Source organism: Homo sapiens, chromosome 10 (genome assembly GCF_000001405.40).
Source record: "Homo sapiens chromosome 10, GRCh38.p14 Primary Assembly".
In the NCBI taxonomy this organism is placed as follows: Eukaryota; Metazoa; Chordata; class Mammalia; order Primates; family Hominidae; genus Homo; species Homo sapiens.
This window is the reverse complement of record NC_000010.11, coordinates 122,653,314-122,680,356: the sequence shown is the minus strand read 5'-3', so window position 1 is coordinate 122,680,356 and position 27,043 is coordinate 122,653,314. Positions and strand designations below refer to the sequence as shown.

At 46.5% G+C, this 27,043-nt stretch overlaps 1 protein-coding gene across 1 annotated transcript, besides 1 other annotated feature; it reads right to left on the bottom strand.

Annotated features, from left to right (window-relative positions):
* Positions 1-862: 862 nt before the first annotated feature.
* On the bottom strand, positions 863-7,507 carry SPADH (spermadhesin family member). Its single transcript, NM_001364461.3, has 4 exons — positions 7,430-7,507; positions 4,687-4,716; positions 3,466-3,601; positions 863-1,510 (listed from the first exon to the last, which is right to left on the bottom strand). Exons 1-4 carry the CDS (start codon positions 7,473-7,475, stop codon positions 1,309-1,311), a joined length of 414 nt encoding a protein of 137 aa, NP_001351390.1. The 5' UTR covers positions 7,476-7,507; the 3' UTR covers positions 863-1,308.
* Positions 15,162-15,662: an enhancer, noted in NCBI's record as "H3K4me1 hESC enhancer chr10:124424211-124424711 (GRCh37/hg19 assembly coordinates)". NCBI's record gives its function as "activates a minimal SCP1, AML or CMV promoter by ChIP-STARR-seq in primed H9 embryonic stem cells {active_cell/tissue: H9 hESC(primed)}" and the evidence as "EXISTENCE:reporter gene assay evidence [ECO:0000049][PMID:30033119]".

Genomic DNA, 27,043 nt, shown 5'->3' with positions numbered 1-27,043 from the left:
CCTTCAAGCTCCAAGACAAACATTCTGGAACAACTTAGATGACAGACAGAGATGCTTGCTTCATGTGAGGTTTACAGGGTCCAGATGCTCCTTCCAGCTTCAAGGGTGGAGGGAAACTCCACAAGGTCAGCTCTGGAAGGTCCCTGACCCTGTGTCCTCCTCTCCCCTGGTCACATTCAGGGAGGACTGTGGGCCTCCTGGGGACTGACCAAGTATCCCGGGGAAAAAAAAACAAAACAACAAAAAAAACTGGACTCATCCAGAACCAAGACCAGGAGCCAAGCCTTCTTCTGTCCCCAGATAGACCTCACCCATGGTGAAGGAAGAAGTAGCCACTTCAGCGATGTGCCTGAAATGCACTCAAATGTGCCCAACACAGGCCCCACTGGGAGCTCTGCCCTTTCTGAAACACTCAGAAAGATGGAGGGGGCACCTTTCTCTGTGTTCTCTTTGTTCCTAAATTCACCCCATTCGGGTGACTCCACCTCTGCTCACAGCACCTGCTCAGCATGTCCTATTCCGGCCTTTCCAGACCTCCCCATGCTGGAGGCCAGACCTGAGCTCCACCTCACTGGGAAGCCTGGTGTGAACAGCATAGCTGGGTGAACCCCAGACCTCACAGTGTCTGCAGCTGTCACCCACTGCCTGATGGGGGTGTCAGGGGCCATTGCTTCTTGTGCTGCTGTTTGACTCTATGCAAGCTGGTTTCAGTCCTCAACTGAATACAAGTCTCTTAGGGATGGGGAGTGTGTGCTGTGTATTTCAGTGTGTCCAGAGACTCATAGGGCACCAAGTATAATCTCAGTCCAGGAGGCACAAGTTTCTTATTTATATATATTTTATGTATATATAATATATATTTCTTGTTTATATATATTTTCTAGGATTATATATTCATATAGAATATGTGTATTATACATTCCTTATAGTATATAGTTCATATACTACTCACTTTGCAGAAATACACTAGAAAATGCTACAGGGCATATAATAAGATCAATAGAGAGAAAGATGGCTTCTCAGAGATACCCACTTCTATATCAAGAAGACAGGAAAGATAAAGTTTTCACATATGATCTTCTAACACTAAAGATGTGGGTGTACAGAAATGCTGAGACAGAACCCGTACCTTTTTCTGGAAGGGTCACAGGGTCACATTCCCTCTCCCTCACCCAATGCTGATCCAGGAGAACTATGACTCAATCTTATTTCTGCAGTCCCAGGTATAGCCTCTGTCCAACATATGCAGAACCAGGCTCAGGCAGAGCAGGGGAGCATCAGCAGGTGCCTCTTCCCCCGATCTTCCTATTAATGTGTTGACCAAGCGTCAACAAAGTAATATATTTCAAAGAAGGTGGGTGGATGACTGGGTTCTCTGGAGTACTTGATGGTGATGATGTTGGAAGAAGAGTAATAGAATGTACTGAAGGCTTTACAAATCCTGTCCAAGGACTCAGACCCTGGAGGTCCATCCAGCACTTCCACGTATTCTTTGCCACATGCGAATCCTCTGGGTCAGAAGAAAAGGCAACCATCAGCATTTGGATTTGTCCTCCAGCCAGGCTGCCACCTCCCTCCACCAATGAATCCACACTAGATCCCAACAGCTTTGCTCATGAGAAGTGCAAGGACAGATGAGAACGAAAGAAGGAAAGTTTGTCAGTTCTTCAATAACGCAAGCAGGGGCCCGAGCACCCCCTCCATCTTCCCAGAAAACTTCACCTCCACCAGGGCAGCAGGTGGCTTCCCAGTCTCATGGTTTCCATGTCTTCCAGGGAGCCCAGCCCATGGCCCTAGGATTCCAACCCAGGAATTTTAGTCAAAACATCAGCTGTGTTTCAAGTTCCCCAAACAGGGAATGCAGCCAGCAGAGTGGTATGTTTCCTTAAACCACAACCTCTGTGTCAGGACAAAAATCACCAGAAATGAGTGTGTGGACACCACTCCCTGGTTCCTGCCTTCCTTTCCCCTGGCAGATGGGACAGGAAGAGGTGAAGCATGACCCCCCACTAGCATAAGCTTGGCCTTGCTTACTCACTGCAGAGGAGAGAGGGGTCTCTATCTCCATCCTGTGAGAGACAAGCTGCACATGGAAGTTCTCAGTCCTAGGAGACCTCCCTACTTCCCTCTCCTCCCTGTGCTTTTCCAGTCCTAATCTCCACCCCTCATCCTCAGGCCCCAGCAGGTCTCAGTTCACAAGGAGGGGCTGGAGCCTCTCTGGGGTATAATAAGACAACAAGGGGACACCCCACCAGGACACACACAGGGCTGACTTTATACTAGTTTTGCTCTTGGCCCAGCCTGTGTCCCTCCTTGGTGCCAAGGACAATCAGATTCAAAATCAACTTTGAAAAGGACAAAGGGACAATATGGGAAAATGTCCACAGCCGCCCATCCCGCTGGCCTTGGGGAAATTATGACACAGGAAGTGCACGACTCTTTCATTCCAGGTCCCTCCTCAAGCTCCTTCTCTCCTTGTTTCCCCATCTGGGTCTTCATGGCCACACATCCTTTTTGAATCCCTGGGCCTCAGGTTGGGTAGACAGTTTAAGCCCCGTATTTGAGGCAGGTGTCTCGAAGTGTCCTTGATCCCATAGAACTCCTGCATAACGTAGTGGGATTCTGAGCCCATAGGCTGTCTGGAGGGGACAGGACCTCTGGGTCACACAGTTCCACCATCTGTCTCATCCACCATTGTGGGCTGTGTTTGGCTTGGTCTGGAATTGATGGAAATGTGGTTTCCATGCTGAAATCTGTGAACACTGCCCTGGGATATCAATGCAGTAACTTAGGCTGCATTGGAAATGCCTTCTGTGGCTTTATCACTTCATTCATTCATTCATTTAAGAAAAATACCTGCAATCCAAAGACAGACTCCTAGTAGACACAAACAAAGTCATAGCCAAGAGTAATATTACACTATAAATTCAGTGTAGAGCTTTCCAGGGGTATTATGTAAACCCCTGTGAGAAAAAGATCTCTCCTCCTCTGCAGAGAGTCAGGAAAGTGGTTTTATTGTTATGGAGGTTGTTGTCCTTGAGCTAACTCATGAAATACAACATGAAAACCCTTTGCAGAGGGCAGATGAGTCTGGCAGGGATTGAAGGATGCATTCCAGGCAGAGGGCAGGTGTGAGCAAAGGCAAGGAGCTGCTGGACTCTGGTGTGTCCAGGAAACTCAGTGTAATGGCACAGCCCATAGCAGGGTCCAGAGAGGAGAAGTGATCAGAAGTGAGCAGAGAAGAGAAACCAGTTGTGAGGAATGAGAAAGGCATGACAAGAAAATCAACTTTATTTGGAGAAAACGAGCCAGTGAAAAGCTTTCAACAGGAAGTGAAAATGTCGTCAAATTGTGTGTCAAATGGCTGTCATGGATAGGGTGGAAGGTGAACCATATGAGGTCAAGATGGGATCTTTCCTAGAAATACCAACAACATCAAAGAAAACTCACAACCCCAGTACTCACTTGAGGTCTGGAATGGCCACCGTGACTATCTCCCCGGGGTTCAACTCGATGATCCAGACGCATTCAGTTTTCGGCCCAGCGTAGTTGAAGATCCTGCCATATTCATCTGTGTAGTGGCCCCCACAGTCACTGGGTGCTACAAGAGGAGAAACGGGGCCCAGGCACTGCAGGGATGCTCTAGGTCTGGGATTGGCTTGTGTCATTCCAGGGGCCCCTGTTATTACTGATTCTCCCAACTTCCCATCCTTGGGAAGAAAATTCAACCTTAATGGCCCAGTCTGATGGCTCCACAAACAAGGTGGGCTTTTTGGTTTCAGACTTTATTAGGTGACCCACACTTATTTTAAAGTACAATTTGTTTATGACCAGTGGGAAATAGAGGAACTTAACTCCCCTTACTAAAACTTTCTCACCAATCGTATTGCCCGATTAGTGAACAGAAAATCAGCACAAACACTATCTTTCCATTTCCCTACAGATCTTTTCTTAGGGCAGGCTGGACAAATAACAAATAGGCAGTGCTCCTGCCCCAATAGTAGCCCAATCCCTGAACAAATGAGAATCCATCTCCTTGAGGTTCAATGATGCCTCAGGCTCCGAAAGTGTGACTGAGGATGAAAAGAGCACTTTCCTTGAGTGGTCAAATGTGTTCCAGTTTCTAAAGCACTTAGCTTGTGCCCAGCAACTGGTTAAACACTAGGTGAATCCACCAATCAATCAACAAGCCACCCTGCATCGCAAGAAACTGCTCCTCCCTCTAGCCTGCATCCTCACGGAGAAGCTCGTAGGAAGAGGGAAGAACTGCACCCTGGAGGAAGCAGGTTAGAGGGAGGAGCAGTTTTCTGACACCCAGGATGGAGCAGCTCCTCAGATCTCCAGACTCCAGGTGTTTAGAAGAGGCTCCCAACCTCCAGGAACACAGGCTCTGTGGAGTGGTGGCTCCTTTCCCTGCCCAGCAGGCTGGTCAGACAGGAGGGCAGAGGAGACTTCGGGGGGGCTTGGAGGTGTTGGGGAAGTTGGGAGGAGTCTCATGGAGGGGAGCACTGAGAGGGTGGGAGGGGGAATTAGCGATTATGAAGGCTGAATCCAATTACCAAGTCCTTTTGGACAAGAATTATCCCTGGTACGTGCCCTTCTCATTGATCCATTTGGATTTCAACCCCAAAACAGTGTCTCTGTGTGAGGCAAGGGAAAGAGGGTAACAGTCTTGTCTGCATTTACCTGTGGCAAATGGAGCTTTAACAGTTGTGGCTGAAAGACAAAACAAAACAAAAAAAACCATGAAAATCTGAACTTACCAATGGGTGAAAGCAGAAGAAAGGAAAATGACTACACTGTGAAGAGGAGCTTGAGTGCAAAGGGACAGAGCTGAGCACAAAGGGACAGAGCTAAGCAGGAAGAAGAGATGGCGTCACTGTCCCCATTTATGGGAACAGCCCTGGGTTACCCAGAGAGAAGGATGGAAGGAAGCATCGGCTCTCAGCACTCACAAATTCACAAACTAGCTCACTCACAGCATTCTTGTTTTTCCCATTCCACTCAATTAAAGTTCAATTGTCTCACTCTGGAGCCATGGTCAGAAATGACTGCTCTGATAGAGTAGTCAGCTTATCTTGAATTATCCGAGACATTCCTGATTTTTTAGCTAAAGGTCTCACGTCCCACTTTCCTGGGAAAAAATAAAAGTCAGCTACCTTAACTCTGATATAAACACTTCTCCTTGTAAATTCTATAACAAAACCAGTGATTAATTTGAATTTGAAATAAATCTGTTGACTAAAATTTTTAAGTGAGTAGAAGTGAGCCATGTTTATTTATGGAAATTTCACTATTCAGGGACTGGAGTTAGATAACGGGATCCAAGCCAGCCCTGCACACAATCTCATACGTCCCACGGTGCACGTGACACTGGGATCATTGTCAGGCTATGATCTAGCGGGCAGGCCCACGGGTTCAGAATCAGATGTCCCTGGTTAACTGTCCCAGCAGCCTAGAGCTGAACGACTTTGGACAAAGTTTTTAACTCTCCCTAAGCCTCAGTCACTCATCTATACAATGGGCATCTTGATTTTAACTACCTTACAGGATGAAGCTGGGTGCACGAGCCCATGGCCCAATGCCCAGCACAGGGTAGCCTGGCATACACCTGATCTGTCACTCTAACGCTTTCAAGACAGTTGCTTCGTTTTCCAAATTAGATGATGTTTCTTTACTAAGTAAATTAGCAATCCTCATAATGCTACACAACCTATTCTGACAAGAAAGTCAACCAGGACATCTTAGCTGTCCTTCCTGAGCCTGAGACTATATTGGTCCTTTGTGGGTGCAAAGAAGAGTCTCCCCACAGCTGGGGCCTCTATCAAGTTGGCTCTGGAAGAAATAAATCACGATTCCCCAGAAAGCAGACCTCAAGTGCAAATCCTGAACATGCCTGTCATATTGAGTGACATTTCTGTACTGTAACCACATCTACCTTAAATTCCTTTCATCTAGATTCTTAGGCAAAGGCCTTGAGGCATGGGGAAGAAGCTGCTACTTAACAATCACTAACCACACAAGCTTTCAGGCTGTGAGGCTAGTGATCACTCCAGGGAGCTTTAGTAATGAACTTTTCTAAATTTGCTTGAATGGAAACTTTTGCTTCACTAACTCCTCACAACAGCCCTGTCGAGGCACCCCGATTCTACAGCTGAGGTTAAGAGGGGTTGGGTGACTTGGCCAAGCCTATGCAGCACTCATTAGTTTCTGCATTTAAGCTCAGCACCTCTCCCTCTTTTTCATCAAGTTGTCTTTGTGTCTCTTGATTTCACCAAGGATGAGGAAACCAAATGTCAAGCATATTAAATTTTTCCACCAAGCTGTTAGGGTTCCTATGACCAGTTGCCCTAAGGCCTCACTGTAGCCCTAATTTAGACAGAAGCTGTAAGCTGTTATCTGAGTTGGAAATGTAGATGGGCATCTGAAGCTTTAGCCAGAGGCAGCCATGTGGAGCTGGGGCCTACAGTGAGGCTGAAATCCTGGCAGGGGAGGAGAGCACCCGGTGATGGGGCAGCCCCTGACGTGAGTGTGCAGTCAGCAAAGTGGAGCAGCGCAGGAGAAATGGGCAAGGTTGGAAAGGACCCGGCAAGGGCAAGAGAGGAGAAAGAAGTGACGAGAGTAGGAAACAAGGAGCTCAGGAAGGAAAGGGGAGAGAAAGAGGAGGATACAAAGAAAGAAGGTGGGGAGAATGAGGGAAACAGGAAGCCAGGGGAAGAGAGACATAGAGACGAAGACATCTCCCTGAGGAAATCTATACCCTCTTCCTTTCCTGCCTGCATTCAAAATCAGTTGGCCAGTCCTCATGCAGTTGACACAATTCCCAGGGTCCAGCCCTCTAGAGGGCAAGTGACTCCCCCTCTTCCAGGCACTCCCAGCCAGCGGTGGGAGCTGCTGGTTATTGCTCCTCCCGAAGTTGCTGCAGCAGCCATGTGACAACCCGCTGGGCAGATGCAGAGCTCCCTCCTGCTGTGGGCTCCCCCAAGGGCCACAGTTACCCCCTCAGAAGTCCCCAGACACATTCAATGCAGGGCACCCTCACCAAGACACTGCCTGCCGTCAGACCACCTGGAAAGCCTCGAAAGCAAGACCATGTCTGATTTTCTCAGCCACTTCTGGGTGAGCCCTGCAGAATCTCAGCATACATTGCTTAAGGCAGGAAGGAGGGTCACAGAACACATCAAGACCGGGAACTCAGGAACCCAGAAATGTTTAAAAATCACGATGGCATCAGCACAATGACATAGATATTTTCCTATTTGTCTCTTCTTCCACCAGCACTAAGTGAAACATTCTGTATGGAAGAGAGTATCTTTCAGCTAATCAGCCATGGGCTTCTTCCTTGGCAATAAGCAAATTTTAAAATCTCTGCAGTTGAAAAGGAAAACAGTGCGAGGCCCAGAAGAAAGGGCCTGGGGCCATGCGTTACCTATACTGCACAGCAGCGGCCAAGCGAAGGCTCTGGACAGCCTCATCCTCAGCAGGGCCTGGCACCAACCTCAGGAGTGAGCTCAGCTCTGGTGGCTTGGGGTTATATAGAAACACCCATGAAATCTGATCTTCTCCCTCCCATCTGGAGCCAAGATTGGCCAAGCTGTAGGATCTGAGGGTGCTGCAGGATCACCTGGGTGGTCTAGAGAGGGAGGGATGAGGTGTGGCTAGATGCTAATCAACACTGATCTTTCTCAGCCAGGTTCCAGGTTTCACCTAGACAGAGATATAATGGCCAGGTGCTCCTTCTCCTTTCCGCCCAGGCAGACTCAAGGGAAGTATCACAAGCTGGCCTCAATCTGTGATCTCCTACTGGGGCAGCCCTCTTTCTTTGGGTTAACTTGTAGCATCTGCAGCTGTATTATGTTGCGGAAGCCTCACAACACCCCAGAGGTGAGGCAGGCCAGGAGTCCTTGGAAAGCTGAAGATCCGAGACCCAGAGAGAACCAGGAGACTTTCCCAAAGTCACAGGGCATCAGGGGCAGAACCAGGGTGAGGTCCCGAACTCCTGACTGCCCATCTCTCCCACAGCCCTCTCTGTGTCACAGGAGAGCAAAGGCATGAAATCAGGCCCTTGAGCAGATCAATGTGTGAGTGGGTCACAGTGGGGCCACTGCAGGGATAGGCCCACCCATGTAGGAATGTCCAGGTAGATGGCATGAGTACCTGTGTCTGCCTGTATTACCCATGTGTCATGCCAGGATCCACATGGCTCAGTCCCAGGGCAGGGTCATGGTTAAAAGAGGCTTCTGTGGAGAACAGGCTGGAAATTTCTTAGAAGGTTACACAGAGAGTTCCTTTATGGTCTAGCAATTCCACTAGCTGTATGCTAAAGAGAATTAACAGCATATGTCTAGATATAAATTTGTACATGAATGTTCATAGTAACATTGCTTATATTAGCCAAAGAGGGAAACTATCTAATATCAACTGAGAAACAGATGAAGAAAACTTGGTATAGCCATAATGGGAATTTATTCAGCCATATGAAGGAATGCAAGCCAATTTGTCAACCAAAGACTGTGACCAATTTATACAACAACCAGGACTTCATGAGGACCCATTTTCCTAAACTCTAACCAACTCCTGATTTTGTCACATCTTTTAATATGTCTTGTAATCAAATATGATGGAAATAATACCTAATGTTATAAAATGCATTTCCCCAAAGTCCAGTGGGGCTGGCACCCTTTCAATGCCTCCACTCCCACTACAGCTCTTTCAGAAATGCCTGTTCATATCTTCAGGGCAATCTTGTATTGCATCACTCGTCTTCTTATGGATCAAAGAAGCCACCCTCGGCCTTTATTTCCCACAACTTTGTTTGCACAGGCCATGATGGGTTCACAGTGTGAAGGGGCTTTCCAACTCAAGTAGAACAGACCGACACTGCTGGGCTGGGAGCCCAGTTGTTTCTCCCTACTCAGAAGTCACTGAAAAAGGCTGTTTTAGTGTTAAGTCCCCATGTATTACCAAAGTAAACTGCAATACTTCCTCACAATTCTCCTTCCTCCTCTTACTCCAGATACCCTGTCCCATTACCCCTCATTCACCCTACCCCTGGCCCTGGGCTGGGAAGAGGTCAAAGCTCCCCACAATTGGATGTGAATGCCCAGATGGAGCAAATGCTGGAGCCCATGGAGAGGATGCTTCCTTCCTCTTGTACCCCAGCCCAAGGATCCTGCCATGGGCTCCAATGTGTCAGGATGGCTACATGTCTTCCAGCATCGTCCCCGCATGGCTGTGGCTGTCTGAAGGAACAAAGACCTAGTATCTTTTCTGGAGGACCCTGGAAACCAAAGTCTTAGGTGCCCCAACTCACGATGTCAGCTTGGAGGAAAGATTTGGGTTAGCACCAGCTTCTGAGGATTTGCGTCCCTCAGATCTTTATCCTCCCAGGTCGTCCCTTGCTCCTATCTAGCCCTAAGTGGATTTGTTTATTTCCCTTTGTATGTTCTTCTCTCATAGCCTGCTGCACTCAGACCTGTCCTCTGCTTCTCCAGGAGAGGTTAGTAATTCTCTGCACCTTGTTCAAAGACCCCTGTGACTGATGCCATCCACAGTGTCAGAACTGTCCAACTGGTCTCCTCTGTTCCAGGTCTGCCATTATCTGCCTCCCCACCACCCTTACTTTTACTTTACCAGGAAGAATTTTAGGGTCTGATGGGCATTTTTTGTGTTGTCTCCCTAGCATGATTTCCCAGTTGGAAACAAAAAACCCCAACTTTTTCCAGGTATCTATTCTCACCCAGCATACCCAATGTGTCCTAGGAGCAACTGGCTCCAAGCCTAGCTCCAAATGCTGGCCTGAGTAGAGTAGGAAGGTGGCATGGATGGTGACAGAAGGCTCACCCTCTGCATCAGTGATGGATGCGGACTTGAGTATGTGACCCAGATTGGTCCAATGGCATCAAAGGAAGGTGTGACTCAGAGGGAGGCAGACATGGCTGCTCCCCCTTGCTACCAGGATGAGGATGAAGCCAACTGGCAGAGCTGCAGAGCAAGGCAATGGTGGGAAGGCCACACCAGAGCTGCTGCTGATGTCAGCCCTAAAGCCTCTGCATTGTCCAGACACAGGCATCAATCCCTGTCCTCATTGTTTAAGTCAATTTGAGATGAGGTTTTTGTTCATGTAGCTGAAAATATCCTAAGCTCTTCAAGGCCCCTTGAATACCAGAAATTAAAGTGCTTGCTCTTTAGAGAGTCTTAGAAGAATGAGAACCATCCATCACCTGCTAAAATCCCCCAGGCTGAGCAGACCTGCCATGGCACCTCATTTGGGAGATTCCAAACAGCTTGGGCAGGTGGCGCCACAGAAACCTCCAACGTCCCTTTGACAAAATGCTGACTATGTCAACTTCTCAGAGGCCCTGAGGCACATGTGCATGTGGGTCCTTCTATTTACTGCCTCACCAAAGTCTCCAGAAGCCAGCCACAGCCATCAGAAAATACAGCCATCTAAATTACAAGAATAAGCAGAGGGACATATGCAAAACATTATGCTTGGGAAACACTCATCCTGAAGATTTACATAAAATGGTAGTTATTGAGTAAAGTAACCATAATCTATTGACAGGGCTTCTGAAAATCAAATCATGGAAAGCCAGGCTATGGCTAAACTCCAAGCCCTTACGCTGGTAACTACAACAAAAATTCCATCTTCATTTGGCAGTATCTTTTCCTATGCTTATTTGTTATCTATCTTCTGTGAAAGAAAAATAAAAACTCCAAACTCCAATTTCCTATGCCAAAAGGAAAAAGGAAACTAAGCTGAAAGCTGAGGCATGCAAGAAGCTGCCTTTCCTTTTGTTCCTAAGCAGAGAGCTACAGATAAAAGGTTAAATATCTCCACAGGTAGTTACTCTATGTTCACCTTATCTTATATAAATGCCTATTTACTGAGTGTGAGACAAACTCATGATTGACTATCCCCTACCTGCTCCTTTTCTTAAGACTTAGAAACATTTTTAAAGTAATTGAATTAAGATTATTGATTGGGAAGGAAAAAAATTAACACAATGAAATGTAGGAACAGAAATGCAAGAGAAGTTGCTTAATCCTATGCCTTCCAGCCAGGATTATTGATTGGGAAGGAAAAAAATTAACACAATGAAATGTAGGAACAGAGATGCAAGAGAAGTTGCTTAATCCTATGCCTTCCAGCCCAAGCGGCACAGCGTAGACATGTGGATGACCATACCCTCCCTCTTTCCCTTCCAGCCATCTTTTCCCCTTTAAGTATTGAAGCCCACAAAATCTTCTTGGGACCACAAGCTTTTTCTGTGTGTGTGTGTGTGTGTGTGCATGTGTGTGTTTGTTTTTTCAATTTCTAGTCATGTCCTTAACCTTGGCAAAATAAACTTTTAAATCAATTGAGACCTGTCTCAGATACCTTTTGGTTTACAAATTGGCGACCAACTGAAGAGACTCTGAGTGGAGGTGCCCCTGACCTTTGATGAATCTCCTGTGGGTGCTTGGTACTGGCTTGGGCTATCTTTATTGCTCAAACCAATGGGACAATTTGCTGAGGCCTGGGAGCTTCCCCACTCCAGAGAATCCCTGATCTCCCCCAAACTTGGGTGAGATCTAAGGTGTATTTCACCATACGACTGCTTTTCTGGAGTTTTACTCACTTCTAACAGGGAAGGCAAGTTTTCCTGCTTTCCATGACATTGGAAACAGGAGAGCAAGTCCTTCCTGGAATCTCTGCTTACTTGCAAAAGGGAAGGTGAGTTTGAGTTTCTTTCCTGCTTCTAAGATGGTAGAGAGCAATCTTCGGCCTGGGCCCCATTCCTAGGTAAGTAGCTGAATTGGGATATTGTGTTGAAAAGTCTCCTTAATGACTAAAAGTTAAGACTGATAACCAGCTGGTCTTAATTTCTCCTTACCATTAGAGCGTTCAGTGGGGCAAGTGGTGACACAGAAACCTTCAAGGTCCCTTTGACTAAATGCTGACTATGTCAACTTCTCAGAGGCCCTGAGGAACATGCACATATTGGCTCCTTCAGTTTACTACCTCACCAAAATCTCCAAATAGCCATCCTCAGTCATCCAAAAAATACAACTATATGAATAAGAAGAATAAGCATATTGTTTGGCTTTTCGCTGTTTTTTTTTCAGTCTTTCTCCCATTGGATTTGACCAACTGTACTGGACTTGGTCAAATCCGGATAAGAATTCCAAATTATGGAGGCCTCTGAATTGGCTAAAATCCCCCACAGCTGCAAAAAGAAAAACAAAAAGGTGCTTGGCTTCTCAGTTCACTTCCTTTCTTAAAAATTGTTGTTTCACTTACTTCCACCCTGTTGCCATCTTCAGTACCAAGTGAAAAACATATCTAGAAAGGCTTCTAATAATTTGGGTCCCTTAAAGAGCTCAGGATAAAGGCACCGCTCACTCCTTTTAGGGGTGTTCTTTCTTTGTGGAGTTTCAACAGTCATGGGCAGATTGTTCTCAGGTCTAAAGCTCTTCTGTCTTGTATTGCGTTACCTGGTTTCTTTGGCTTTTGGGGGTACCAGAGATTACCTTGTACTGTGAGAGGATCTGACTTTAGTGTGTGTAATGGCAGAAGATAGCTACAATTTTAGGGGTGGCTGAGGACAGTTGGCAGGAAATGGTCATTACTACAGGGAGATACTCTTTTCTTCACACATTTGAATAAGAACATTGTGGTTTAGTCCTTAAAAAATGCATGAATTCTTGGCCCCATTCCCCAAAGAGCTTTACCCTAAAGCCGGTGATCTAATCAAGCTAAGTTAAAAGACCACCTATCATTAGCTGGGCGTGGTGGCGGGCCTCTGTACTCCCAGCTACTCAGGAGGCTGAGGCAGGAGAATGGCGTGAACCCAGGAGGCGGAGGTTGCAGAGAGCCGAGATTGCGCCACTGCACTCTAGCCTGGGCAACAGGGCGAGACTCTGTCTCAAAAACAAACAAACAAACAAATAAAAACACCTATCAAATTAAGTCACTTTAATAAAAACATTTTGTAAAGAAAATTTACATCATTAAAGGAAATCTCCGTTTTGTAAGAGCATCTCTGTCTCTGCATCTGTACCACCAGGAACCTTAACTAGGGGGAAGACAATGGCTTAAAGTTTACATAACAGACCTTGACTTTGTTTAGGTCTAAGTCTGTGCCTTTGAGATGTACATTTTCTACCCTATTTCACCAAAGTCATGTCTTTGGAGTTGTACATTTAGAGTTGCTTCGTTAACAATTATTTTGGACTTGGAACAGATCATCAGGAGACCAATAATCTGAAGTAGGGGACAGAAAAATTTTGAAAACACACAAATGAAAAATCTAAAGTGTTTAAGATCTGCCTCTGTCTGTGTCCGTCTATAGAACTGTATGTGTCATGTGAAGTGATATTTCACGACCAAGTTATATGAAACAGCGCTAATTAATTGTCTTAAAGTCTAAAGAACTCTAATTAATTGTCTTAAAGAAAAGTCTAAGTGTTTATTGGACTAACAGAAACTAGTTCAGAGGCTTTTCAGTTCACATGACTTTGGTCATCTTTGGTAAGTTTAATTTGGTAAATTTAATTTTCTCTATTGATTTGAAATCTTAAAGTCATGTTATGTTAAATTAAGTAATCCTAGAATTTTCACTAGGAATTAGAGTTACTAGGAGTTAGAGAAGTAGGAGAATAAGATGTGTGTTTGGTGAAACAAAAACATAAGGATATGGTTTTTGCTTAAGAAAATGTATTTTTTCTAGTTTAGAGGACCATTCTACTGGTATTAAGATAAAAACAACTGCTTACATCCAACCATTTTTTGATAAGCTGGTGAGTTTGTGTAGATATCTCTTGGCTAGAGTTCCAAAGTTAAAGCTATAGGATCTTTGTATGAGTGTGTATGTGTGCTCAGATGTATTTATGTGTGCATACATCTGTTTTGTTATGTGTTGTGGCCAGAAGGTACTAAATTGGCTTAAAAATAAAGGAGTACTCATAAATTAAGGAAATGTGCCCAAATGTGTGAGAAGGCCCCATGCACTGGAGCCCTTTCAGCACTTTCTTGAAGAAAACTACAAAACAAAATAGAGGACCAGTGACTTAGAAGCCCACCTGAGCAGATAACACCAACCCCTCACCCATGGCCACAGTTATGGGAGAGCAAGTTGTTGTTAGGGCAGCTCCACAGGAGCAGCCCTGTTCTGAGCAGAGCGTGTCCTCCAGGAAGAAGGCCTGCAGCCCTGGCCAGACCAGGCACTTTTCAAGGCCAACACTTCAGCCTGATCCACCACCCCTCGTGTTCACTTAGCCCCCAGTGTATCTCCTGCTCCCAGGCGGGAGCCCAGAGGCTCTGTAGGATAAGAAGATAAGAGGGGCACATCTCAGAACAGCAGAAATATGGGGACCTTCTGTACGAGTTTTCCTACTGGCTGAACCTTGAGCCTCTTGGTGACAGGGACAGTCAGAACCAAAATACCTTTGAAAAAGGAAAGGGTCCTTAGGAAAATGTTCCAAACATCTCACTCTTCTGACCCCTGGAGAAATAGCGACACAAGAAATGCCTGGCTCATTCAGCCCTGTCCTCCCCTCAAACTCCTCTCTGTTCCCTGAATCATGACCTTCATGAACATACCATTATTTGCTGCCTTATGAAAACAAAGTTTTGTAGAGGGTTGTAGCACTGCTCGTGTAAGAGCCATTTCCCAGGTGTCCTTCATCCTAGAAAGCCCCGAGAAACTTAGTGGGGGTCCTGACACCACTCCACCTCTGGAGCGGGAGGAGCCCTTAGTCACTCAGATTTCATCACGTCTCTCATCCATTACTGTGGCCTGCCCTTGGCTTTGTCTGGAGTTGATGGAAATGTGACTCCCACGTTAAAATCCATGATGATGGCCCTGGGATAGCAGGGCAGTAACTTACTGCTATGTTGCTAATGCCTTCCGTGATCTTATCACACTAGTCACACATTCATTCATTTAGGAAATATGGCTTGAACCCAAAGTTAGAGTTTCCATAGTGGCAGACAAAAATAAAAATGCAAGTAACATTTTATGCTAAAATCCACTATAGATTTTCATGGGGTGACTGATGAGGCAAAAGGAGAGAGAGACGCAGTCACCTGAGGAGTTAAAAAAGAAGTGGCATGGAAGAGGTGTTCTAGGATCCAATATGTTCCTATTTTAAAAGGTTTGTTCTGTACCTGGCAAGTCCTCTGTCCTTGGTAAAAAATAAATGAATAAGCTGCCTGCATCACAAGGAAACTGCTCCTGCCCCCAGCCCGCATCCTCCATGCTGCGATTCTTCCCTTTTCCTTCACAGCTCTCACTTTTGACTCTGAAGTTGGAGCAGCCCGTCCGCTCTCCAGACTCTGGGTGATTAGAGGAGGCTCCTGTCCCCCATGGGACACAGGCTCTGTGGAGAGGCAGCTCCTTTCCCTGCCCAGTGAGGCTTCCCAGATGGGAGGGCAGAGGGGCCCCCCATGCTGGAGAGGAGTTGACAGAGCTGGGGGGATGTTCCAGGAAGGAGACCCCTAAGAGGTCCAGCCTCATGTCTGAGCCTCTCAAATGCTCCACCCAGCCGTCCTGCCCCAAACCACCCCAGTGCACACATCTCTGCACCAGCAATGCCTACAGGGCCCATGAGGAAGTGCCTCTCTCTCCTTGTCCTTCAGTTCGCCCCACTCAGGTGACTCCACTCCTGGTCATGGAACCTGCCCAGCACGTCCTTTGCAGTCTTCCCAGACCTCCCCATGCCGGAGGCCAGGCCTGAGCTCCACCTCACTGGGAAGCCTGGTGTGATCAGCGCATGTGGGGCCGACCTCAGACCTCACAGTGTCTGCAGCTTCCACCCATTGCCTGGTGGACGTGTCGGGGGCCATTGCTTCTTGTGCTGCCACTTGACTCTGTGTGAGCTGGTTTCAGTACTCAACTGAATACAAGCCTCTGGGGATACAGACTGGGCATTATTCTACTCATGTGTCAACATGAGTTGCTCCAGGCTATAATCGTATGTCCCAATGCATTTTTTGTACTACCTGTACTCAATACTTGGCCACTGGAAAGCGGTCTCACCTTTTTTTCTGGCAGTCACAGAAACATCTCTATATGCAGCATGCCACTCAGCTGGCTTCCACAGAGAAGGGGAGAATCAGCAGGTTTTCCCCTTCCCCACCTACCTTCTGAGTCACTATGGTAATATGCATCCCACAAAGAATGTGGATGGTTGGCTGAAAGTTCTGTTATATGTGATGGTCATAATATTGGAAGAGGATTGGTAGGTCAGGGACATATCTTTACACATTTTGCTCAGGGATCTGGACCCCAGAGATCCATCCAAGACTTCTACCTGTTCACTCCCATAGGTGAGGCTGTGGGGCAGAGAACTGACAGGTGTCAGCATTTGGAATCAGCCTAACTCCAGCAGGCAGCTTCCTCCCCAGCGAGTGGCACCAGCTCTCATTAGCTTACTTCTCAGAAGTGCAAGGCCCGGGGCGAGCAAGGAATGGAAAGTCTAACAGCTCTTCTGCACACAGATTAGTCTCTTTCCATAACCCCTGAATAAAATAAATGTTTTCTTCACCAGGACTGCAGGCGTCTTCCGAGTGCCCTTGGAAGCCCTGCCTGTGGATGGGAATACCACTCAGGAATTTTAATTCCAGCCACCAGCTGTGTTTCAGGCCCCACAAGCTACAAAATCTGCATCTCAGGGACATGTGTTTTCAGCCACAGCCTCTGTGTCAGGATGAGATGCTCCAGACATGAGTGTGTGGATGCCACTCTGTGATTCCTGCCCTTGGCAAATAGAGGGGCAACAAGGGTCCCCAGCCCAAGCTTGGCTTCCCTGACTCAAGGCAGGGAGGGGCCTCCATTTCTTACCTACAGTGAGATATTGTGGACATGGAATGTCGCCCTCCTGAGGGGTCTCCCCACTCCTCTTACCCCCTTCAGTCTTCAAACCTGACCTCTCATCCTCAATTAGCCCCCAGCAAGCTTTATGTACATGGGAGAGTGTTTACAGCTTATTTGAAGTATGAGAAGACAGTTAAGACATATCCCATTAGGACACACACAGGGTTGACTTCATACTAGTTTTGCTTTTGGCCCAGCCTGAGTGCTTCCTTGATGCCAAGGACAGTGAGATCTAAAACCAATCTTTGAAAAGGGCAAAAGGACAATACAGGAAAATGTTCAGAGCTGCCAATCCTTCTGAGCCCGGAAAAATGGTGGCACAGGGAATTCCCAACTCCAACCTCCTTCTCTCCTTGTTTCTCCATCTTGGTCTCCTGTGCTGCAAGTCCTTTTTCAGAATCACTGGAGCCCGTGTTGGGCAAATGGTCTAAGTTCTGTATCTGAGGCAGCCATCCAAAAGATGTCCTTTGTCACACAGAGCACCTGCATAACCTTGAGGTCCCAGCCCAAAAGCCAGTGTGGAGGGAAAGGGGGACCTTAGTCACATATATTCCATCATCTTTCTCATCCACATCCTGGGTTGTGTTTGGCTTTGTCTGGAATTGATGGAAATGTGGCTGCCATGCTCAATCAAAACAGACTGTCTTGGGTATAAATGCTACAGGGTTTTCTGCCTTCTGGGATCTTATCACTGCTTTCATTCATTCAATCATTCATTCATGTATTCATTCATTAACAATTTTGCCTTGAACCCCAAAAGAGAGCTTTCATTGCAGTGGCGTCAAAGAATGAAACAAGTGTCGGTGTACATTGAAAAGACAACTCGGCCTTTTCTGAAGGTATCTAGTAGGGTGCAAAAGAAAGAGCTCTGCCCGTCTGGGAAGGAGTCACGCAGACACTACAGAAGAGCTGGGCCTCCAGCTGAATCATGAAATCCTCGTAGAGGACCCTAAGGATAGGGCAGATGAGTCTGACAGGGGTAGAAGTAGGCGTTCTCATCAGAGCCCAGTGTGAGCAATGGCATGGAGCTGCTTCACAGGTGGTGCCAGGAACCCCAGTGTGGAGGGGGCCGAGGGCAGGAGTGGGTGGAGGGGAGGAGAGGTCCAGGAGCCACATTGGGAAGTATTTTGCAATGCAGGCTAAGGAGAGAGCACCTGACCTGGAAGACAGGGAGGCACTAAATGCATTTGCAGCAGGAGTGGAAGCCTCCAATTCTATTTAGAGGCCTCTGGGTTGGGTGGGGGTAAACTGGCAAGACGCCATGTGGATTTCATCCCAGCAAACTATACCATCAACAAAGGAAATCACATCCTGAGCACTCACTTGAGGAAAGGAAATAACAGATAGATTTCCTTTTAGTTTCACCTGGATGGCCCAGACAGATTCTGTTTTGTTCCTGAGTTGAAAACCTTCCCAGAGAATGCGTGAGGACAACCCCCACACTGAGGACACCCCCCACACCGAGGACACCCCACACACCGAGGACACCCCCACACCGAGGACACCCCCACACCGAGGACACCCCCACACCGAGGACACCCCCACACTGAGGACACCCCTACACTGAGGACACCCCTACACTAAGGACACTCCTACACTGAGCGGGTCCTACAACCAGAGAATCAGGAACCACCGTGGCTCCAGGGCATCTCCTGAGCTGAGGGACTTTGCTATCTCTGGGGCAAATGGTTGTTGATACTCTCAACTTCCAGGTGTTCTCAGAAAAATTGGTGATCAGGCCAGGTGCGGTGGCTCACGCTTGCAATCCCAGAACTTTGAGAGGCCGAGGCAGGCAGATCACTTGAGATCAGAAGTTTGAGACCAGTGTAGCCAACATGGCGAAACCCCATCTCTACTAAAAAGTACAAAAATTAGCTGGGTGTGGTTGTGCACGCCTGTAATCCCAGCTACTCAGGAGGCTGAGGCACAAGAATCACTTGAATCCAGGAGGTGGAGGTTGTAGTGAGCCAAGATAGCACCACTGCCCTCCAGCCTGGGTGACAGAGCCAGACTTGGTCTCAAACAAACAAACAACAACAAACAAAACAAAACAAAAACAAAAAAGGAAATTGGTGACCAGATAGCCATTCCCCCAAAACTAATGTGGCTTCTGTTTCATACACTCAGAGATTTTGAGTTATCACACCCATTTGTAGTATAATTTCTTTTAGATCACTGGGAAATAGAAGAAATTTAGCACCCCTCACCAAATCTTCTTTATCATCTACCCCACCGCCACAGTGGAAAACAGAAAGTCAGCACGAACACCTCCTTTCTACCACTCTGATTGTCTTTTCCTAAGGAGGCCAGAAAAAATAGCAAATAGGCAGTGTTCCTGCCCCCAGAGAGGCCTAACCACCCCCATACATGAGAATCCATGTCACTGTAAGACCTGAGGGTGCGGTTCCAGAACACTGTTCAGTGAGGATGAAAGTAGCACCTCGCATAAGGGGGCAAATGTGTTCGGGTGTGTAAAGTGCCCAGCAGGTACCCAGCAACTGGCTAAGCACTAAGTAAATGAATCCATCCATCAACAGGCTGCCTGCAGCAGGAGGAAACCTCTCCTCCCTCCGACCCACCCTCTCCACGCTGCAGTTCTTCCCTGTTCCTTCAAGGCTTTCATCTCTGACTCCGAGGATGGAGCAGCCCCTCAGCTCTCTAGGACTCCAGGTGTTTAGAAGAGGCTCCCATTCTCCTGGGACACAGCTCTGTGGAGAGGTGGCTCCTTTCTCTGCACAGTGAGGCTACAGAGAAGGCAGGAAAAGAGGGGGGCTCCATGGGGCTGGAAGGAGTTGAGGGACACACAGAGGAAGACCATGTGTGGAGAGAGAAGTTTCAGGATTGAGCTGAAGTTGTATCAGTGCTGAAGCTGATATTCAGATACATGTACCACATTCTTTTGGCCCAGAAAAAGGCTCAGGTCCTACACTTCCTGTCGAGACATATGGTGTCCAACTCAGAAATACATAGTCCTTGTGTGAGGAGAGGGAAAGGGTGAATATATATTGCTCATGTTTACTTCTTGTCATTGTTGGTAAATGGATTATTCCTGAATAATCATGAAAACAGAAAAGCAAAATGAAAAGCCGAAGTTACCAATGGGTCAAGGGAGAAGAATGGAAAATGACCACACTATGAAGAGGAGCTTGAGTGCAAAGGGACAGAGCTGGGCAGGGAGAGGAGGGGATATCGCTGTCCCCATCCCTGGAGCAGCCCTGCATCCCAAGGAAAGAAGGAATGGCTCTCAGCACTCACGGCCCAGCTCACTCACTGCTGCTTTCTCCTTGCTCGGTTCGACTCAAAGTCCACATTCTGACACCACAGTCTGAAAAACTGCTCTGATCAAGGGGACTGTCTTGTCCTAGTTTTGATGATTTTTGTTGCTTTAGCGTGGAAGATCACTTGTCCATGAAACCTTTCATCCTGGGCAAAACTGGAGAGTTTTTCACACTAAACCTTTTCTAAACATTTCTTATTGTAAATTTCATAATAAAATCAATAATCAACTTGAATAACATTGTTAAGTGAAGGGAAATGACACGTTTATTTATGGAAGGCTCACCATTTCAGGGACGTGTCACGGACTTGGATGCAGGAGCTCTGGGTGCAGTCGCAGGGCCTCCCTCAGGAGACGTGGCTCTGTGGTTCACACTCGTGACAGACATGGCGGCAGGAGCCCAGCCTCTGCATCAGAATGGCCCTCATCACAGTCCTAGCTAGCATGACAGCATGTGCCTCTAGGGAAGCTGTTTGCAACTTATTTACTTTCTCAAACCCTAAAAATTTTGGGAAAATTATTACTATTCAAAAAGTTCCAATCATGGTGAAATTAGACAACCTGTATGAAATTATTGATGTAGTACCTACAGAATGTTGAGTGTTGAATAAGTGTTTAATGGTCTTCACCATTATTATTTCTTTGTTACCTGTTTCTATCTCCAATTCATAAATGAGAAAATCGTGGTTGACAGAGGTGAAAGGTCTGACCTGGAGCCGCATGTCAGTCAGCAGGAGAATGGACATAGGCGCCTTGTTATTTTTATTTCTTTGGCTCCTTTTTGGCCAGGGTTTCCCTAGACCCTTTCCAGCCAAAGACATCAGCGTGCTAAGCAGAAGCTAGGACTCAGCTGGTTCCATCATATTATTCCACTCCAGGGTGCTCTGGGACCATCAAAGACCTGGATCTGCTCTCACTAAATCCCAGGGGACCGTGCGCTGCATGCCAGAGCTAGAGGACAAGGCCTGCCTGCAGCACCTCTGTATCTGTTAATTTAGAAAAATCAGAAAGGGCAAATAAAAGTAGGATTTGTTTTTCCTCTCCAAACGTGTCAGTGAATTTCAGGCAATCCTTCAAGCTCCAGGACAAACATTCAGAACAACTTAGACGACACGACAGAGATGCTCGCTTCATGTGAGGTTTACAGGATCCAAACGCTCCTTCCAGCTTCATGAGTGGAGGGAAACTCTGCAAGGTCAGTTCTGGAAGGTCCCTGACCCTGTGTCTTCCTCTCCCCAAATCACATTCATGGAGGACTGTGGGCCTCCCCAAGGCCCACCAAGTGTCTTGGAAAAAGCCCAGACCTATCTAGAACAAAGACCAGGAGCCAAGCCCTCTTCTGTCCCCAGAGAGACCTCACGCATAGTGAAGCAAGAAGCGGCCACTTCAGCAATGTGCCTGAAATGCAGTTGAACATGCTCAAATGTGCCTAACCCAGGCCCCAGGGTGAGCTTTGCCCTTCCTGAAACACTCAGACTAAGGAGGGAGCACCTTTCTCTGTGTTCTCTTTGTTCCTAAATTCACCCCATTCGGGTGACTCCACCTCTGCTCACGGCACCTGCTCAGCACGTCCTATTCCGGCCTTTCCAGACCTCCCCATGCTGGAGGCCAGACCTGAGCTCCACCTCACTGGGAAGCCTGGTGTGAACAGCACAGCTGGGTGAACCCCAGACCTCACAGTGTCTGCAGCTGCCACGGCTGCCTGGTGGGGGTGTCGGGGGCCATTGCTTCTTGTGCTGCTATTTGACTCTGTGTGAGCTGGTTTCAGTCCTCAATTGAATACAAGCCTTTTAGGGATGGGGAATGTGTGCTGTGTGTTTCAGTACAGAGAGTAATTCATAGGGCACCAACTGTCATCACATTCCATGAGTTATGAGTTTCTTTATTTTATATATTTTTTCCAGGATTATATATCTTATATAGACATTGGGTATTATACATCCTTGATATTATAAAGTTCATATGCTACTCATTTCGCATAAATACATTGGGAAATGCCATAGGGCTTATAATAAGATCAACAAAGAGGAAGAAGATAGAGTCTAACAGACACATGCTCCAATATCAAAAGGACAGGAACGATAGAATAGTTTTCACATCTGACCTACTGACCCCAAAGAAGTAGGTGTACAGAAATGCTGGAACAGAATCCATGTATGTTTCTGGAAGGGTTACTGGGTCATACTCCTTCTCCCTCACCCAAGGCTGATGCAGGAAAACTGTGGCTCAATCTTATTTCTGCAGTCACAGGTGCAGCCTCTGCCCAACATGTGCAGAGCCAGGCTTGCATGAGCCAGGGGAGCATTGGCAGATGCTCACACCACCTGGAACGCCTCCAAAGCAAGACCGTGTCTCATTCTCTCAGCCACTTCTGGCTTGCCCCCCGTAGAATCTCAGCCTAAGTTGCTTAAGGCAAGGAAGAGGCCCATAGATCCAAGAGCTGAGAAACATTAAAAATCATGCTGACATCAGCCTAGTGACCAGAACAATCCCTGTCTGTCCCTTCCTCCTCCAGTACTAAGGGGAAAGTGACACATTTTGTATGGAGGAGAGTATCTCACAGCCAATCAGCCATGAGCTTCTTCCTATGCAAAAAGCAAACTACAACAACCTCAGAGTGGAACAGGAAAGCAAAGAGAAGCCCAGGACAGAGGGCTCGGGGGCCACACATTACCTGTACTGCACAGCAGTGCCCAAGCGAAGGCTCTGGACAGCCTCATCCTGAGCAGAGCCTGGCACCAGCCTCAGGAGTGAGCACAGCTCTGGTGGCTTGGAGCTATATAGAGCCGCTCCTGAAATCTGATCTCCTCCCTCTCACCTGGAGCCAAGGCTGTCCAAGCTGCAGGATCTGAGTGTGCTGCAGGATCACCTGCAGCACTGGGTGGTCTAGAGAGGGAGGCGTGAGGTGTGGCTAGCTGCTAATGAACACTGTTCCTTCTCAGTCTGGTTCAGAGTCCTCTGTCACCTAGAATGAGATATAATGATCAGGTTCTCCTCTTTTCCTCTCTGGGTGGTCTCAGAGGAAGAATCACAAGTTGACCACAGACCATCATGACCTCCTGATTGGGCAGCCCACCTGCCTTAGGTTTAGCTCATAGCACTTTCACCTGTGTTACATTGAAAAAGTCTCATAACACCTGAGAGGTGAGGCAGGCCAGGAGTCCTTGGACAAGCAAGGAACCAAGACCCACAAAGAGCAGGAGACTTACCCAAAGTCACAGGGCATCAGGGGTGGCACTAGGGCGAGGTCCCAACCTCCTGACTGCCTGTGGCTCCCACCGCCCTCTCTGTATCTGTGGAGGACAAAGGCACAGAATCAGGCCCTTGAGCTGCTCGAGGTGTGAGTGGGTCATGGTGGGGCCACTGCAGGGGCAGGTCCACCTGTGTGCGAATGTCCAGGTGGATGGCATGAGTACCTGTGTCTGTATTTATTATCCATGGGTCATGCTAGGACCTACACGGCTCAGTCCCAGGGCAGGGTTGTGATTAAAATAACACAGCACAAGCCTCTGTGGAAACAGGTTGGCAGTTTTCCTTAAGGTTACACAGAGAGTTCCCTTATGGCCCATAAATTCCATCAGATATATACTTCAGAGAAATGAAAACATAAGCCCACACAAAAATTGGTACATGAATTTCCATAGCAGCATTGCTCATAATAGCCAGCATGTGGAAGCAACCCAAGCGTCCATCAGCTGATGAGTAAGTAAATAAAACGTGGTATGGACTTAAGATGGACTGTTCCTCTACCATGAATAGGAATGTGAGCTGCAGTGCCTACCAAGGACTGTTGCCAATTTATACAACAACCAAGACAACAGGAGTATCCACTTTTCTGAACTATTTACCAAATCTTTTAATGTGTCTTGCTGATCAAATATGCTAGAAACAATACCTAACTTTATTAAATGTGTGTTTTCCTGAATTCCAGTGGGACTGGCATCTTTTCAGTGTCTCTGCTCCAGCTGAGGCCCTTTTGGAAATGCCAGTCCATGCCTTCAGAACAGTTTTCTCTTGCATTGCTCTTCTTCTTCTTATGAATCATAGAGGCCACACTTGTCCTTTCCTTCCCGTAATTATTTGCACAGGCCCTGATGGGTTCACAGTGTGAAGGAGCTTTCCAACTCAAGTAGAACAGGCCGACACTTCTGGGCTAGGAGCCATCTAGCCACTCATAGCATCCCAACTGAGGAAGGGAGGCAGAAGCGAAGTTGGTAAGTTTCCTCTCTGCTCAGAATTCAGTGCTAAGGCCGTTTTAGTGTTAAGCTCCCAGGTATTACCAAAGTAAACTGCAATGCTTCCTCACAATTCTCCTTCCTCCTCTTACTCCAGATACCCTGTCCCATTACCCCTCATTCATCTTTCTTCAGGCCCTGGGCTGGGGGAGGACAAAGCTCCTCACCATTGGATGTGAATACCCACATGGAACAAATGCGGGAGCCCATGGAGAGGATACGTCCTTCCTCTTGTTGTCCATGCTGAGGATGCTACCATGGGCTCCAATGTGTCAGGGCAGCTGTGCTCCCCGCCAGCAGCATCCCAGCATGGCTGCGGCTGCGTGGGAAGAAGAAGCAGTTAATCTCTTACTATCTAACTTGTTTTCTGGGGGACCCCAGAAATCAATGTCTTAGGTACCCCAAGCAGTGTCCTCTTGGAGGAAAGATCTGGGTTCACACCAGCTTTTGAGGAGTTATGTCCCTTGGATCTTTGTTCCTTCAGGTAATTCCTAGTTTCCAAATGGTCCTAGGCAGACCGGCATTTCTCCCCTTTGTATGTTCCTTCCTCATGGCCTTCTGCACTGCAGTTTTTCTCTCTGCTTCTCCAGGAGAGTTTAGTAATTCTCCACATCTTGTTCAAAGACCCCCTCTGACTGTCTGTCCCCCACAGATTCAGAACTGTCGCACTGGTCTCGCCACTGCCCCAGCGTCTGTCATCATTCACCTCCCTAGCACCCTTGCTTTTATTTTACCAGGAAGAGTTTAAGGATCTGGTGGGCATTTCATAAGTTTCTTCTCCAGCATAGTTTCCCTCCTTTTTTATAGAACCCCAATTTTGTCCATGTATCTATTCTCACCCCATGCGCCCAATGTGCCCAGGGGGCAACTGACCTCATACTCAGGTCTGAGAACTGGCCTGAGTTGCCACTTCCCACCTGCCCATTATTCACTTAGGAGCCATCTGGGTTACCAGATTGAGTGTGTTGGATAGCAGTGCTTGCATCCAAATAACCTTTATTTTATTTAAAATTGGCCTTAAGGTGCAGGACATGGAATCACGGCAATCCGGATATGCCATAGGGAAGTCATGAAGTGGTTTCTTTAAGTGAAAATGTGAATCTTCTCGGCTTAATAAGGAAAAAAGATGTGTATGTGAAGTTGCTAAGATCTACAGTACAATAAGATGTTTTGAGAAACAAAGGCAGACCACATTTACATAACTTTTATTATAGCATATTTTTATAATTGTTCTATTTTATTATCATTGTTAATTTCTTACCATCTAATTTATGAAATAAAGTTTGTCATAGGTATGTATGAATAGGAAAAAACACTATCTGCAATTTCAGATATTCATTAGGGTCTTGAAATGTATACTTTGTGGATAAGGGGGAACTACTGTATTTGTCCTTGCTGTTTAAGCCAACTTGAGTGGGTTTCTTTCATATGAAGCTGAAAATATCCTAACCCCTACAATGTCCCATGAATACCAGAAAATAAAACACTTGCCCCTTAAGAAAATCTTTCAACAGTAAGAACAACACTCCATCACCTGTTAGTCACGCCCCTTCCAAAACTAACCAGACATGCTCTGCCTGTTCACTTTTAGAGATACCAAACTCCTTGGACAGGTGGTTACAAAGAAATCTTCCAGGTCCCTCTGACAAATGTTAACTTCACCTTCTTAGAGGGATATGTGCATATCTGTGACTTTGGTTCAGTGCTTCACCCCAATCTCCAAAATCCTGTCAAAGCTGTTCTAGAATACAACCAAATAAATATCAAAAATAATCAGATAGAAATATGAAAAATACTATGCTTGGAAAACACCTATCCTGACAGCTTACACAAAATGATTCTTAATGACTTTCCTAATCTTAAAATATATTGACAGGGCTTGCAAAAATTAAACCATGGAAAACGAGGACATAGCTAGAACCAGTGGACTATATGTTGCTAACTACCACTACAATTCCATATTCACAATGCAACAGAGAACCCCAGTACCCTTGTGAGCAATTATTGCTCATCTTTGGTACAGACTCAGAATGCTTTAAATTAAACAGACCCAGAAATTTCAAAAGACTTCATTTTCAATGAAAATATCCAAATTCCTATATAGATTAATTGATGCTTTTGTTTAACCTCTCTCTCTTTTTTTTTTTTTAATTCTGTGGTAATAGCCATCAGAGAGATGAAGCACTTAGGACTTAAAGTCTACAAAAATACCAAATGCATCACTGAATTTCACTCCATTCCAAATTGGCCTATCACTTGTCATTCGGTAACTGCTCTTATTAAGGAGTTGTATAGTTTTTAGCTTTCAAGTCAGCCATTATCTGGAAATCCTTTTCATTCACTGCTTTTGACCATCCAATTCATCTCACATATCAGAGGTTGTTTCAGCCATTTTTGACATGGAGAGCATAAAATATTCTTTCCTGCTTATAGGGGAGTTTTTTCTATTTAAACATGAAATGCTTTCAAAGAGAAATACCATGACTTTTAAGGAGTTAGAAAGCATTCCTGTCACGGTAGTATTTATTGCTTGTAAGGTGGGGGTTAAATGTTAGCCAGTTATATTTACATCCTAATGAGTAACTGGTTCATAGCTACCAAACGATAAACATTATGACCTTAGTAACTATGTCTCCAATAGAAAAAAGAAAGAAAAAAGAAAGAAAGAA